The 16033-nt window shown below is 36.0% G+C and overlaps 1 protein-coding gene across 16 annotated transcripts in view; it reads left to right on the forward strand.

Moving 5' to 3' along the window:
• SYT1 (synaptotagmin 1) overlaps positions 1–16033 on the forward strand; it is a 588027-nt gene that overhangs the window by 350221 nt on the left and 221773 nt on the right. For all 16 annotated transcript variants that reach the window (NM_001135805.2, NM_001415940.1, NM_001415943.1 and 13 more), the window contains one exon: positions 3301–3483. In NM_001135805.2, the coding sequence (NP_001129277.1) occupies positions 3318–3483 (166 nt within the window). In that variant the 5' untranslated portion in view covers positions 3301–3317. The remainder of the gene's footprint in view (positions 1–3300; positions 3484–16033) is intronic.

Consider the following 16033-nt stretch of genomic DNA (forward strand, 5'->3'; position numbering starts at 1 on the left):
ATTTCACAGTGGTATGCACTAAGTAAAAAGAACTTTGTCTATATTTCTTACAATCTTTTTTTGATTAAAAAATAAGAATTAACAGGGATGATATCATTGGCTGGTAAGAGTTAAAAGCTTATAGCTCTTACTTTTCTGATGAACACCTTCCAAGGGTATTTTATGTCTATAGAGGATTGGTTTGGAAATTATAGAAACATTCTTTGCTTCCCTTAAAAAAAAGCTGGGTAACTTTAAGAACATTTTCTAAATGTTGACCCTGTTTAGCAAAAGTCTTATTGTTCCTATAGTCTTTTATGTCTTTCAAACTATATGTAGAAATTTTTTATGTACAATTATAAGCTGGAGTAAAATGAAAACTATTTAGCAACTCAAGAAGTGAAGGAGGATCCAGCTATCAGTACACACAAAGGCTAGAAACAACTGTGTAATCACTTGAAAGTAGGAGCTGAACATCAGTCTGAATGACCAGCAACAATATCCCACCTCTACAACTGGACAAAAATTAAGCAGAAACATAGTTGAGCAATATACCTTTAATGTAATGATGGAGCTATTGTACTTAGCTATTTTCATTTAACTCAATCATTTCCTTTAAATTCTACAGTAAGCCATAAGTCCTCAAATATCTTCAACTATCCTGTACAGAGATAAGTAATAATGTGTGTCACATCTGGTGTTTCTCACAGCAAAGGAAAAATTAATTTTTTGAATACGTGCCTGTAATAATGTGTGTATATGTGTGTGTGTGTGTGTGTGTGTGTGTGTGTGTGTGTGTACAATTTTAGTCTGGCTGACTCAATGAAATACAGAAGTTAGGACATCATTAATATCAACAGTTTTACCCAAGTTGTATCAACAGAGCAAACAAAACTTCAAAGTTTTCCAGGGAGATGAGCTCCTAAACTGAACAAAATCAGATAATCAGAAAAAGCTTCTGGGACGTGACTTGAGTTGGAAACAAAAAATTTCCACATTCTGGACAATTCTGGGAGGCCAAGTGCTATTAGAGATGTGTGGATAAATCAATTGATCAATCAATTGATTGATCCACTGGTAGTCTGTTCCATTGATCCACTGATCTCTGGAACAAACTAATATGCCAGTGGATCAATTGAACAATGGAGCAATGGAACAAATTAATATGCCAGACACTATGCTAATTTTTTTGCATAAATTATTTCATACTCATAAAAACCTTACAGATTTGGTCTGATTATCCTCATTTTACAAAAGAAGAAACTGAAAAACGAAGAAGATCTGAGCCGATATCTGTCCAATTCTACCCTTTAGGATTATATTGGTAGCTAGTAATGGAAAATTAAAAACTTAAAAAAGAGAACAAGGCCAGGTGCGGTGGCTCACACCTGTAATCCAAATACTTGAGAAGGCTGAAACCAGTAGGATCATGCGAGCCCAGGAGCTCAAGGCTGCAATGAGCTATGATCTCGCCACTGCTCTCCAGCCTAACAACAGAGCAAGACCCTATCTCATAAAAGAGAGAGAGAGAAATAGTCAATTATAAAATAAAAATTCGTATCTATGTATATGTGTTAGCCTCAGCCATGATCTCCTGGAAGTAGATCCAAAATCTCTGGATTTTGATTAAGATTTTAATAAGAATCTTATGCATCTGAGATTATTCTATTTTCAATTGTACTTTCACTAAATATGTAACTATGCATGACCAACTCACAAATCGTTTGCATTTCTTTCTTTTTTTTTTTTTTTTTTTTTTTTTTTTTTGAGACAGAGTTTCGCTCTTGTAGCCCAGGCTGGAGTGCAGTAGCACAATCTTGGCTCACTGCAACCTCTGCCTCCCGGGTTCAAGCTATTCTCCTGCCTCAGCCTCCCGACTATCTGGGATTACAGGTGCCTGCCACCACACCTGACTAATTTTTATATTTTAGTAGAGATGAGGTTTCTTCATGTTGGCCAGGCTGGTCTCGAACTCCTGACCTCAAGTGATCCGCCTGCCTCGGCCTCCCAAAGTGCTGGGATTACAGGAGTGGGCCACCACGCCCAGACTAAATTTCATTTTTAAAAAAATCTTGTTTGCTGGTTATCTCCACGTCTTTGCAAATTAAAAGGTTTTTATAAGTTCGTCTACTTTCCTGTTAAGAACGTGAAGTGAATCCTGTCCAGGCCTCTTTACTTATCTATTTCTGCCCCAAATCATGCCCATTCTTTCCTCAGAAAGCCTGAAATCTTAAGTTCTGCAGGAAAATTACAAAGTCTGGAATATTTTTAGAATGGAGAATATTCGTTCATTTCTACTCCCTTAGAATACCTTCCTTACATTTGTACCTTCACGTGTTCTAAGAAAAATCCAGGAAGGGCAGGTTTTAGTTCTTCATATTTCAGAAGGTGGATAAATTAGGATGTCAAATGCCCTGTTAAAGTTTATTTAACTAGTGAAGAGGATGAGAACTGATGTCTTCTGAATTCACAGCTGTTTGTATTGATTACTTTATTAATTATTTTGGCATATTTTGGAGGTAAACAAATACTTAAAATAATTGAATACATTAATAAAATAAAATATTCTAATTAAATAAGCTAAATAAAGTAAAATATCTAAACTTATAAGTTATGTTTCATTAGCAGCACCTTGATATATATAGTCAACCATGCCACATTTATAGTGACTTAAATAATTACCCAGCAAGACAAGTAAATTATTGATCAGAGTATTGTTTACAATAAATGTGAAAAAAGTGACTGGGGTGAAAACTTACCATCAATAAATAAGATTCAAGAACCAATTACTGTAATATATTCATAACATCTTAGAGTATCAATATTATGAATAATATTACTTATAACCATTTTTAAAGTCACTAGCATTTTGAGTACATGTTATCATTTATCAACATTTCCAATACAAATATTTTATCTCTTTCTTCCTTTTAGAAAATACAAAATATTTAAAGTATAAAGCATGTATTTCATCAAGAATTGTTTCATACACGTTTTGGTAAGATATGGGTTAAAAGTTAAATCTACACAGCAAATAATTGGCTGTATAAATAACTAATAGATTTGACAGTATACATAGTATTGCTGGAATAGAATGCTATTCAGTAACTATGTCTGGTCTTACCTTCTGGGGAAGAACTCTTCACTCGCTGTGGTTCCATAAATATTTCATTTACCAACACAAAGCAATATGCTAATGATGGACTATTTACCCAGTGAGCAGGTGCCACCTCTGATGTTGTTTCATCTCTGGGATACCTTTGATGTGGGAGCAGTTAAGCCATTTTGAATTGTTCTGTCTTTGCTTCCCTCCCCTCACAGCTTCACCTGAACCTAAAATGGTGAGCGAGAGTCACCATGAGGCCCTGGCAGCCCCGCCTGTCACCACTGTCGCGACTGTTCTGCCAAGCAACGCCACAGAGCCAGCCAGTCCTGGAGAAGGAAAGGAAGATGCATTTTCTAAGCTGAAGGAGAAGTTTATGAATGAGTTGCATAAAATTCCATGTGAGTATTCTATATTAGTACTTGAGTAAAAATAAGTGGTTGAAAAATACCCCATCCATTGGAAAGAAAGTAGAACTCCGTTTGATATACTATAAATTTACATTTAATTTATTACTATGGGAATGATAGTATCCCAATATAAAATGAAATATTCTTGGAAATGGAATATTCTTCTTGTCTTTAAATATACTTCATAAATGAAAATCCAGTTTACAAAAAAAAAAAAGTCTGCAGCTTGTATTTAATACAGGTAGGTTGTTTTCTTTGGTGTCTGTTTCTCTCAAGAATATTAATGTTTATGGGTTCTGTTATATTTATTTTGGATTTGCATTTATGAAATTATTTCATTGCAAAGATTGTTTCTGAACAATAGCTAAGGTTTGCTTTCCCAATATCGCAGGTTTGATTTTCTGTCATTCATTTGTCATCATTTAAAAATCTTATTGTTATTTTTTAAAGTTTCCTTATTGTCATTAAAAAAAACTGCACCTAAGTTTATTTGGATAAGTATAGCACTAAGTCTAATCAGTGACATTTAATTTTTTAATTTTATTTTTACACTGACAGATAAAATCATACTATTGTACAACATGTTGGCTATCATTAATAATATATCTATGGTGTATTCCAGAAAAATGTTGAGAGTGAATATAAAGTGTTCTCACCACAAAAATAACTATGTGAGATTATGCATATGTCAGTTAGCAGGATTCAGTTATTCCACAATGTATCAAAATATCATGTTGTAGACATAAACATCATGTTGTGCAAAAGATCTCTCGAACTTATTTCTCCTCTGTAACTGAAATGTATTCTTAGACCAACATCTCCCCAATTGCCACCTCCCCACAATCACCACAGCCACTGGTAACCACCATTCTACTCTCTACTTCTATGAAATCAACTTTTTTAGATTTCACATATGAGTGAGATCATGTATTATTTATGTCCTGTGCCTGGATTATTTCACTTAACAATGTTCACCAGGTTCATTCATGTTGTCACGAATACCACGATTTCATTTTTTTATAGCTGAATGGTATCTCTCAAGTGGATGTACCACAGTCCATTCATCCACTGATAAGACACTTGGGTTGATTCCATGTCTTGGCTATTGTGAAAATTTCTGCAACAAACATGGGAGTGCAGATATCTGTTTGTCATATTGATTTCATTTCTTTGGATACATACCGGGTAGTAGGATTGCTGGATCATATGGTAGTTCTAGTTTTAATTTTTAAAGAAATCTCCATACTGTTTTCCATAGTGGTTGTAGTAATTTACATTCCCACCAACAGTGTGCAAGGGTTCCCTTTTCTCCACATCCTCGCCAACACTTATATTTGATTTTTTGATAATAGCCATTCTAACAGGTTTGAGGTGGTATTTCATTGTGGCTTTAATTTGCATTGCCTTGATAATTAGTGGTATTAAGCATTTTTTCATATTTCTGTTGACCATTTAAATGTCTTCTTTTGAGAAATGTCTAGTCAGGTCGTTTGCCCTTCTTTTGATTGGTTTATTTGTTTTCTTGCTGTTTGAGGTCCTTATATATTTTGGACATTAACCCCTTATCAGATGTATAGTTTGCAAATATTTTCTCCCCTTCTGTAGATTGCCCCTTTATTTTGTTGATTGTTTCCTCTCCTGTGCAGAAGCTATTTAGTTTGATATAATCCCATTCGTCTATTTGCTTTTATTACCTGTGCTTTTTGGGTCATATCCAAAAAGTTATTGTCAAGACCATGTCATAAAATTTTTATCCTGCATTTTATTCTAGATTCATAATTTTGAATCTTATATTTAAATCTTTAATTCATTTTAGTTGATTTTTGTACATGTTGTGAGATAGAGTATAGTTTCATTCTTATGCATGTGGATATCCAGTTTTCCCAACACCATTTACTAAAGAGGCTGTTCTTTCTCCATTGTGGGTTCTTGGCTCTTTTGTTGAAAGTGAGTTGGCAGTAAATGTATGGATTTCTTTCTGGGTTCTCTTTCTGTTTCATCGTCTATGTGTCTGTTTTTATGCTTGTACCATGCTGTTTTGATTACTATAGCTCTATAGTATAAAACTATAACTCTGTACTATATTTCGAAGTCAGGTAGTGTGTTACCTCCAGCAATGTTCTTTTTGCTCAAGATTACTTTGGCTATTTAGGGATTTGTGTGGTTCCATACAAATTTTTATTTTGTGAAGAATGTAATTGGTATTTTGTAGTGTCTTTGTCTGGCATTTCTATCAGGGCTTTTCTGGCTTTGTAAAATGAGTTTGGAAGTATTCCTTCTTCCATTTTTGGAAGAGTTTGAGAAGAAACGGTATTAGTTCTTCAAATGTTTCATAGAGATTAGCAATGAAGATATAAGGTCTTCACTTATGGGAGATTTTTTATTACTGATTCAATCTTTTGTTCATTACTGATCTATTAAGATACTCTATTTCTTCATAATTCAACCTTGGTAGGTTGTATGTATCAAGGAACGTATCCATGTTTTCTTGGTTATCCAATTTGTTGGTATATAATTGTTCATAAGAGTCCCATGAGCCTTTGCATTTCTATTGTATCAGTTGCAATATCTCCTTTTTTGTTTCTTATTTTATTTATTTGAGTCTTCTCTCTTTTTTCTCTTAGCTAGGCTTGCTAAAGGTTTGTCAATTTTGTTTAACTTTCAAAAATGCAGTTTTGTTGATCTTTTCTGTTGTTTCTGTAGTCTCTATTTCATTTCTTTCTGCTCTGATTTTTGTTGTTTCCTTCCTTTACTAAATTTGAGCTTAGTTTGTCTTTGTTTTTCTAATTTCTTGAGGTTCAACATTAGGCTATTTATTTAAGATTTTTCTTCCTTTGATGGAATAGACATTTATTTCTATAAAATTCCCTCTTAGAACTGCTTTTGCTGTATTGCATAGGTTTTGCTATATTGTGTTTTCTTTTTCATTTGTCTTAAGAAATTTTTTGTCTTCAAGAAATGTTTGTTTCCTTTTTCATTTCTTCAGTGACCCATTATTTATTCAAGAGTATGTTGTTTAATTTCCATGTATTTGTGCATTTTTTCTAAAGTCCCTTCTGTTTTTGATTTCTAGTTTTATATCATGGTCAGAAAAAAATAACTTGATATAGTTTTAATCTTCTTAAGTTTATTAAGACTTATTTTGTGGCCTCACATACGATCTATTCTGAGGAATGTTTCATGTGCAGTTGAGAAGAATGTGTATTCTGTAGCTGTTGGACAGAATAATCTGTATGTCTGTTGGGCTGATTAGATGCAGATTGTAGTTTAGGTGATGTTTCCCTACTGATTTCCTGTCTGGATGATCTGTCCATTACTGAAAATGGGGTGTTAAGTCATTATTATTGTATTACAGTTGATCTCTCCCTTCAGGTCTATTAATATTTGCTTTACATATTTAGGTGCTCCAATGTTAGGTGCATATATGTTTGCAATTATTATATTCTCTTGCTGAATTTTGACCATTTTTATCATTATATAATGACCTTTTTATTTCTTTTTGCAACTTTTGCTTTTATTTTATTTGATCTGATACACATATATAGTTATTCCTGCTCTCTTTTGGTTTCCATTTGCATTATATATCTTTTTTCATTCCTTTATTCTGTATGTCCTTACAGATGAACTGTAGACAGCATGTAGCTGGATCTTTTTAAAATCCATTCAGTCATTCTATGCCTTTTGATTGGAGAATTTAACCTATTTACATTTAAAGTAATTATCAATACTTACTACTGCCATATTATTAATTGTTTTGTAGTTATTCTGTACATTGTTTATTTCTCTCTTTTCTCCCATGCTGTCTTCCCTTGTGGCTAAATGATTTTTCTCTAGTGGTATGTCTGATTCCTTGCTTTTCATTTTTTGTATATCAGCTAGAGGTTTCTTCTATGTGGTTACCATGAGGTTTTCAAAAAACATCTATAGTTATAACAGGTTATTTTAAGCTGAAAACAAATTAACTTTGATCATGAAAAAACCTCTACAATTTTACTCCTCTACTGTCCACATTTTGAATTTTTTATGTCAAAATTTACATATTTTATATTGCATATTCCTTTAAAAAATTATTGTGGCTATTATTATTTTTAATTGTTTTGCCTTTTAGCCTTCATACTGAATTTATAAGTAAATGACACACCAGGATTACAGTGTTATAGTATTCTGCATTTGACTGTGTACTTACTTTTACCAGCAAATTTTATACTTTTAAATGTTTTTGTGTTAATCATTAGCAACTTTTTTTTTAACTTGAAGAACTCCCCTTAGTATTTTTATAAGACAGGCCTGGTGGTAATGAACTCCCACAACTTTTGTTTGTCTAGGAAAGCCTTTATCTCTCCTTTATTTCTGAAAGATAGCTTTGCTGGGTACACTATTCTCTGTTGGCAGTTTTTTTCTTCAGCATGTTTTATAATATTCCACTCTCTCCTGGCCTATAAAATTTCTGTTGAGAAGTTGGCTGCTGGATGTATTGGAACTTCCTTATATATTATTTGCTTCTTTTCTCTTGCTGCTCTCAGGATCCTCTTTTTTGTCTTTGATCCTTGACAACTTGAGTATATGTCTTGGGGTAGTCTTATTTGGAATGAATTTAATTGGAGACCTTTGATTTTTCTGTATCTGGATACTTACATCTTTCTCCAGGTTTAAGAAATTTTCTGCTACTATTTATTTATTTACTTTTTTTTTCTTTTTTCTTTTTTTTGATGGAGTTTTGCTTGTTACCTAGACTGAGGTGCAGTGGCACGATCTTGCCTCACTGCAACCTCCACCTCCCAGGTTCAAGCAATTCTCCTGCCTCAGCCTCCCAAGTAGCTAGGATTACAGGTGTCCACCACCATGCCCAGCTAATTTTTTGTATTTTTAGTAGAGACAGGGTTTCACCATGTTGGCCCAGCTGGTCTCGAACTCCTGACCTCGGGTGATCCACCCACCTTGGCATCCTAAAGTGCTGGGATTCCAGGCGTGAGCCACTGCACCTGGCCTACTTTAAATAAGCTCCCCACTCTTTGTCTCTGTCTTCTTTTTTATCTCCTATGGCTTGATTGTTTGCTCTGTTGATGCTGTCCCATAAATCCCATGAGCTTTCTTCATTTCCTCTCATTCTTTTTTCTTCTCTGACTATTTTTAAATAGGCTGTCTTCAAAATCAAAGATTCTTTCTTCTGTTTGACCAGTTCTGCTGTTAATACCCTCTACTGCATTTTTTTTCTTTCATTATATTTTTCTTGACTCCACTTTTCATTTCATTCATTGTATTTCTTAGCTCCAAGAATACTTTTTTATTATTTAAACCTCTATTAAATGTCTTATTCTGGTCTCATATTATTTTCTCATTTTGTTTTCTTGAAGTTCACTGAGCTTCCTTAGTTATTTGGAATTATTTGTCAGGCATTTTATACCTCTCCATTTATTTACAGTCAGTCACTTGCACCTTAGTTTTTTCCTTTGGTGATTTGTTTCCCTGATTCTTCTTGATCTTTATGATCATGTATCAATGTCTGTGCATTTGAAGAAATAGGCACTTACTTCAGTCTTCACAGTCTTCATAGACAGGCTTTGTCTGTGAAAGCCCTGCAGTAGGGTGTGGTGCTAGAGTGCATCAGAAGCCCAGGACAGTTGCAGCCAGCATGGCATCGCCAGAGCCTGGGGCCCACTGTGGCAGGTGAAGCACTGGAGTGGGCAAGAAGCCTGAGGCAGATGCAAATGGAAAGACACTAAGGTGCTCTAACAGCTGGATGCAGCTGAAGCCAGTGCAGTGCTGCCAGAAGCCTAGGGCCCACTACAGCAGGTATGGCACTGGGGCAGACCAAAGCCTGGGACAGCTGTGGCCAGCATGGCACTTCCAGAATCTCAGGGCAACTGTGGCCATAAGAGTGGTGCCAGAAGCCTGAGGTCCACAACAGCAAGCACAGTACTGGGACAGCTGAAGCCAAGGGCCACTAATGCTGCCTGCTGCTGAGGGTGACCTGAAGCCCAAGACAACTGATACCAACCCAGTGGCGATACATACCAGAGATCGAGTTTGCCATACGAGCCTGAAGCCTGGGGCTTTATGGTCCCTCCTGGCACCAGGGCAAGTTTAGAGGCTCAGTCACCAGTATAGGTCTTGAATATAAGGCCGTGGTAGTCTGCCTGGTACTGAGTTTTACTGTGCAGTTGCAATGCTAGGCTCCAAAGCAAAGTCCTGTGCTCGCTTCCCTCTCTTTCCCCCAAGTTGACAGTATCTCTTTCTGCACCTGTGCTGCCTGGGGCTAGGGAAAGAGTGATGCAGGTGTTGTAGAACTGTCCTTCCTATCTCTTCAATGCATTTTTTCTTAGTATTATGCTACTACCAGTTACTGTGAGCTTTCATGTGGTTTCCTTAGCTCTTGTGAAGTTATTTTCATGCATGGATAGCTGTTCAAACTTATGATTTTGTGGGAGATGGTATCTGGAGAGTCCTACTCCTCCATCTTACTCTGCCTCAGTCCAGTTGCATATAATTTGAATCTTAAACTACAACTTAGTCTTTTTTCTTCAAGTATGAATACTTACTATGTACTAGGCACTTTCCCAAATGCTGAGAACAAATATTTAGCACTCACAGAGCTTATATTCTAGTGAAGAAAAGAAGTTAGAAATTAATAAAGAGGAAAATATATATTAATAAATGATGTAAGGAAAAATATAATAGTGTAAATGTAATAGGGAAGGGGAAAAGCATAAAAGGTTGTTATTTTGGGGATGACCAGGGCTGGTTTCCTTCATAAGGAGATCTGAAGGAAGTGGAGGAGAAGCTATCACAAAACCTGGCAAATAGAACCAAGGCCCTTAGGTAAGAATCTACCTGGAAGAGCAAGAAGCCCAGTGTGCCTTAAGTAGATTGAACGAGGTGGAGACTGGCAGAAGATAAATTTGAATGTAGCAGAAGCCATGTCATGTGGGGCCTTGTCAATTGTTCTAAAGAACTTAGATTTTACACTGAGTGAAATAAAATGCCTTTTTGAGCAGAGGTGTCCCATGATCTGACGGGTGGTTTTTTTGTTTTGTTTCATTTTTTATTTATTTATTTTTTATTATTATTATTATTATTATTATTATTATTATTATTATTATTAGAGACAGAGTTTCACTCTTGTTACCCAGGCTGGAATGCAATGGCGTGATCTCAGCTCACTGCAACCTCCATCTCCTGGGTTCAAGCGATTCTTCTGCCTCAGCCTCCCAAGTAGCTGGGATTACAGGCATACACCACCACGCCTGGCTAATTTTTTGTATTTTTAGTAGAGACGGGATTTCTCCATGTTGGTCAGGCTGGTCTCGAACTCCCGACCTCAGGTGATCTGCCTGCCTTGGCCTCCCAAAGTGCTGGAATTACAGGCATGAACCACTGCGCCCAGCCCTGACTTGAGTTTTTTAAAAGATTATTCTTGCTACAGTGGAAAAAAAAAAAAAAGCAGGGGTAGCAGGCTATAGAGAGGCAAGGGTAGAAGAGAAAGCAGGTTGTTGCAATAATCCGGATGAGAGATTTATAAGAGAATTATTCTATAAGGACACTGAAAAACTAAATGAAGCATACAAGGAATCAGCTTCTTATTCCTCATTAATTAGCAACTTGTTAATTTGTCTGTCCACTTTTAAGAAGTTCAAGTTGATCTAAGACACACACTTAGCACAGTTGTCAGTAATTACCATTCTTAGCAGGAAGACTTGTAAGCCAGTAGAGATGAAGATGGTCCAATACATCGAACACTAGAATGGGAAACACAAAATCTCAGTTCTTGTCCTTGCTCTGCTGCTGAGTTAATGGACTGATACACAAACTCCGGGTACTTTTGATATAACTTTGAGGTCATAACTACCAGGCATAAACCAAATACATATATTATGGGTGCAAACTTTCACTTAAGGAATATTTTATCAAAATGTTTACATAGGAGAAATGTGTTCTAGAGAAGCAGAGAAAGCAATGAACAACATAAATCAAATTCATATCTTGGCTTTTAACACCATCTTCCTCTCTGGAAGAATAAACAACATGAGACACATGGCAAGGCTGATAAGTATAGGATTGAAATGCTCCCCATATACGAGCCTAACTCATTTACCCATTTCCTTTTGGTCTTTGCCCAATGTTAGCACCTCCCCAACCACACTATTTAAAATTGCAATCCATTCATCTCACCCCATCTTTGCCAGTATTTCCTGTCCCCCATCCTTGCTTTATTTCCCACCATATTACTTAGCAATATCTGAAATATCATGTATTTTATTATTTTGTTTTAAATTGCTCTAGCTTCTTCCAAAATAATGTAAGCTCTCTGAAGGCAATATGTTGGGTCTGTTTATGCTCATGCCTAGCACATATGAGGCACTAAATACATATTTGATGAATGAGTGGATTAATGACAACCAATTTAACTTGTATCCTGAGCCATTCCTCTTAGACTTTGAGGCCTTAATATGCTGACAAATTTAAGCATCTTACTAAATCATACATTTTAAATTTCCAACACTTATGAAAGCATCATTTTAATGCTTGACTGTGTCATAAACGTTGAAAATGTAATTGTTTCTTTGGTCACAACTCCTCCATCTTTTAGCCTTTCTCACTCAGAGCCAGCTATTACTTTATTTTTTCCTCCCTATTCATTAGTAGGAAAGCAATCAGCTGGAAAAAAATTATCTATGAAACTCTCCTTTCTTTTGCTTCTCTTGGGTAATCTCATCTTTTTCCTTCCCAAACCATTGTCTTAGTCCTGTGTCCCTCTATTGGGCACTGGAAATCAGACCAGATAAACAATCTGCTTGTCCATGGAGATTTGCCTTTGACCAGCAACCTGAAATAACAGAATGTCAAAGAATCTGAGTACCACCCCTAAAAAATATTATGTTGCTAGCACTCTCCTTGATTTAACAGGAAGAAAAAAGTAAGGTAACTAAAACCTTAAAGTGGTATGGTAAATCAATGTTAGAAAACACTGCATCATAAATAAAAGCCATGCCATTTATTTAAAGTGGTATGTTAAATCAATGTTAGAAAACACAGCATCATAAATAAAAGCCATGCCATTTATTAAAAGTGTGTAATAGTATGTATTTTACACTTTCATTTTAATCCGTCATAATTTTTCCTGCCTATATAATTGACATTTCTAATAGGATTTATATGCAGGAGGCAATACTAAACAAAAATAAAACACATCCTTAAAATCAAATTCCTTTAGGACTATAAGATATATAAAGGTTATCACTTTTGACTTGGCATAACATACTGTGATGCTAATGACGGGTAACAAATTAGAATATTAATTGATTTCAGTCTCTGAACTAAATCTTGGCTATCTGGCAGATGTGTTTTTTGCAAAATTGATAGCAAACAGCTTTACTCTGTCACTTGAAATTCCCACTTGTAAGAAGAGGGGTGTCACAATGGCAAGGAGTGTGCATGTCATTAGTTGGGTAATCTGCACAGTCCAGCATGAAACATATTCAAACCAAATTGCCTGATGATATCATCCAGGCCTTAATTTTTTTAAATTAAGGCTTAAATTTTTTTTAAAAAAAGGAGAAGGAAATGGTAAACGCTTAGCATTTTTATCTTTCAATTCATTCTTCACACTGTTATCTAAATGAAGCAGACAAGGTTTTTTAGAATTTTTTTTATTTTGCAACTTTGATTTTAATATGACTAGGGCCATGGTTGGTCTGTAAAGCATGAACTCATGTCATCTGAATAGCTGTGATTAAGGCTTTGATATTCATGAGCTTCTTGAAGTAGAGTGCACCTTTCTTTAAGCACAGTAGAAAGTCAAATAGCCAGAACTTGACTCTTAGTCCAGAATAAGAGCAAGTGGATTAGGAATAGTTGTATAATTTATGCAGAAATGTTATTGGATAGACAGTTTAATTCAGAAATTAAAAATACAAGCTCTAGCCATAGACTACAAGAGTTCAAACCCTAGCTCCACTGCATACTGGCTTTGTGACCTTGGGCATCTTAATTAATTTTTCTGACTATCAGTTTCCTCCTATATAAAATGGGGATGAAAATAATACTCCCATCATAGGGTTGTTTGGTAAAGGTGTCAATGCATGTGAAGTCGTTAGCAGAGTGTCTGGCACTGAATAAGCGCTCTATAAATGGTAGCTATTATTAAACTCAAGCTGTCACTTTAACAAGTCTATTTCTATTTTAGAAAAACCCTCTATTCAGGTCAGTCACCCAAATTGAGAAAATTCCGGAAACTTTGCAGCCAAATACAAGTGCATTGCATTCTTTAATCCCATTCCAATGATCTCTGTGTTAGAGAAGGTAAATTCTCTCTTGGTGTTTCTTATTTCATCCTCTCCTCCATTTTTTTTTTTTTTGGTCCTATAATTTTACTTTCTCTCTCCTTCATTCCCTTTAGCCTACACACATGCTCAAGATTCACATATCTGATAATGCCTAGCAAAATTCCATACATCGTAGGTTCTTAAGGATACCAGTTTTCTACCTTTATGCTCTAAAAATTTCTTCCCCTACTTTACCTCTCCCATCAAGCTATCATTCTGTCTCCTCCCTTCACATCTCTACCATACTTATTTAAAAACGTAATCTGGACCCTGACATCTGTTTTATCAACTCCCATTACCAACTCAATTCCTTTCACTCTAATTTCCATCCTTTGCATACTATTAAAATTGTTTTTACTAAAGTCCCCAGATACTTCCCGATGTACAATTACGAGGGTTATTACAAATATTCAGTTGCTCAGATATTTCTGCATTATTATCACTATTGGCCTTCATCTACTGAAAACTCTTGACTTCCAGGACCACTCTCCTTTCTTCCTCTTCTTTCCTCCCCTTCTCCTTCACTGACTGGTCCTTCTTTTGTTATGATCTTTTCTCCCATTAGGTGTTAGAGGTCCTTGTTTTCTGGGGTTTCTCTTTTAATCCTATTCCATGTTTATTCTACATGCTCTTTTTGGGCAGTTTCATTCACCTAGCCATTCAAATAAAAAAATCTCACTATTATTCTTGACTCCTTGAGCGATTTCACCACATATTCTGTACCTGCATTCAAGTTATGTGAACTACCTTGAACGTCTCTCAAAACCAGCCAGCACTTCACTACACCACTGTCTCCCCTCATGATTTTCTCTCTTCCTGGATTCCCCTTCCCCAGTACCCTAATACATTGTTGGGGTTTTTTTTGCCATTCAAGAGCCAGTTCAAGTGTCACCACTTGGATGAGAGGTTCCCTCATTTCCCAAGGCAGAAATATATGAGTCTTCTCCAACCTTTCAGAGTTCTTCATTCAAATCTCTCACTGTTTTGGTTACCTGGGGTTTTCTGCCTTTCTCACTGAAATGTAAATTAGCCAAAGGCAGGACCATTTTCTTACACATCTTCGTATCCCCCACATCTTGAAAGTGTCTGACACCAAAGGCATTAATCAAATCCAGATCTCTTCTCGGCACTGTGTTGGGATGAGGAACAACAGCAAAGCTGTCCTTCCAATACATGGGGCAGCCTAAACGGGGAGGAGGAGCTGTTTCCTTTGAGACTAGGTTAATTACTGCTACAAACAACTATTTAGATATCAAATTACAAAAATTAACATTAAAGCAAACAGTGCGGTTCTTGTGCCATGCTCGGAGAAACTGTGATCTAGAAAGCAGTAGTTTTCAAACCTTTTTAGCCAAGGATTGCTTTGTTCAAATGCAGTATTACATAGATACTTAAATGTATAAGGTCTTATTTTATTTCATCATCTTCTTTAGTTTATAATTTTAGTTTAATTTTGACTCAAAATATAGAAAGTGTGTCTGTGTGTGTACTACCGTGTACGTGTGTTTTAAGAGTTACCATTAAAAACAATCCTATGGCAGAAAGTTCACCTAAAGCAGTAGGGTTTTTTTTATTTTTTATTTTTTTATTTTTTTTAGACAGAGTTTTGCTTTGTCGCCCAGGCTGGAGTGCAGTGGCACAATCCCGGCTCACTACAACTTCCGCTTCCCGGGTTCAAGCGATTCTCCTGCCTTAGTCTCCCAAGTAGCTGGGATTTCAGGCGCTCACCACCATGCCTGGCTAATTTTTTGTATTTTTAGTAGAGACGGGGTTTCATCATATTGGCCAGGCTGGTCTCAAACTCCTGACCTCGGGTGATCCACCCGCCTCAGCCTCCCAAAATGCTAGAATTACAGGCGTGAGCCACCACGCCCAGCCAAGCAGTAGTTCTTAATAGAGATGGCACTGCTCCTACAACACAGTGTAAATATTTTGGGGGTCATTTTCAGTATATTAAAAACTGCAGGAAACTCCTGGCATTTAGAGGGCATGGTCACAGGACCCTACACATCCTGTAAAGTGTGGGACAGTTTCACAGAATGAAGAATTGTTCTGAATCCCACACAAATTTCAAAAGCCCCATAGGACATACATGTAGATGGAAACCCTTTCTATAATTATCTGAACCTAAAACTATTTTCTGTATAAACACAAAGTGTTTTTGCATGGCTCTCATATATGAATACATGGAATAGTCTAGTTTGTATTCTAATGTCCAC

The sequence above is a fragment of the Homo sapiens genome, chromosome 12, assembly GCF_000001405.40.
Source record: "Homo sapiens chromosome 12, GRCh38.p14 Primary Assembly".
NCBI lineage: Eukaryota > Metazoa > Chordata > Mammalia > Primates > Hominidae > Homo > Homo sapiens.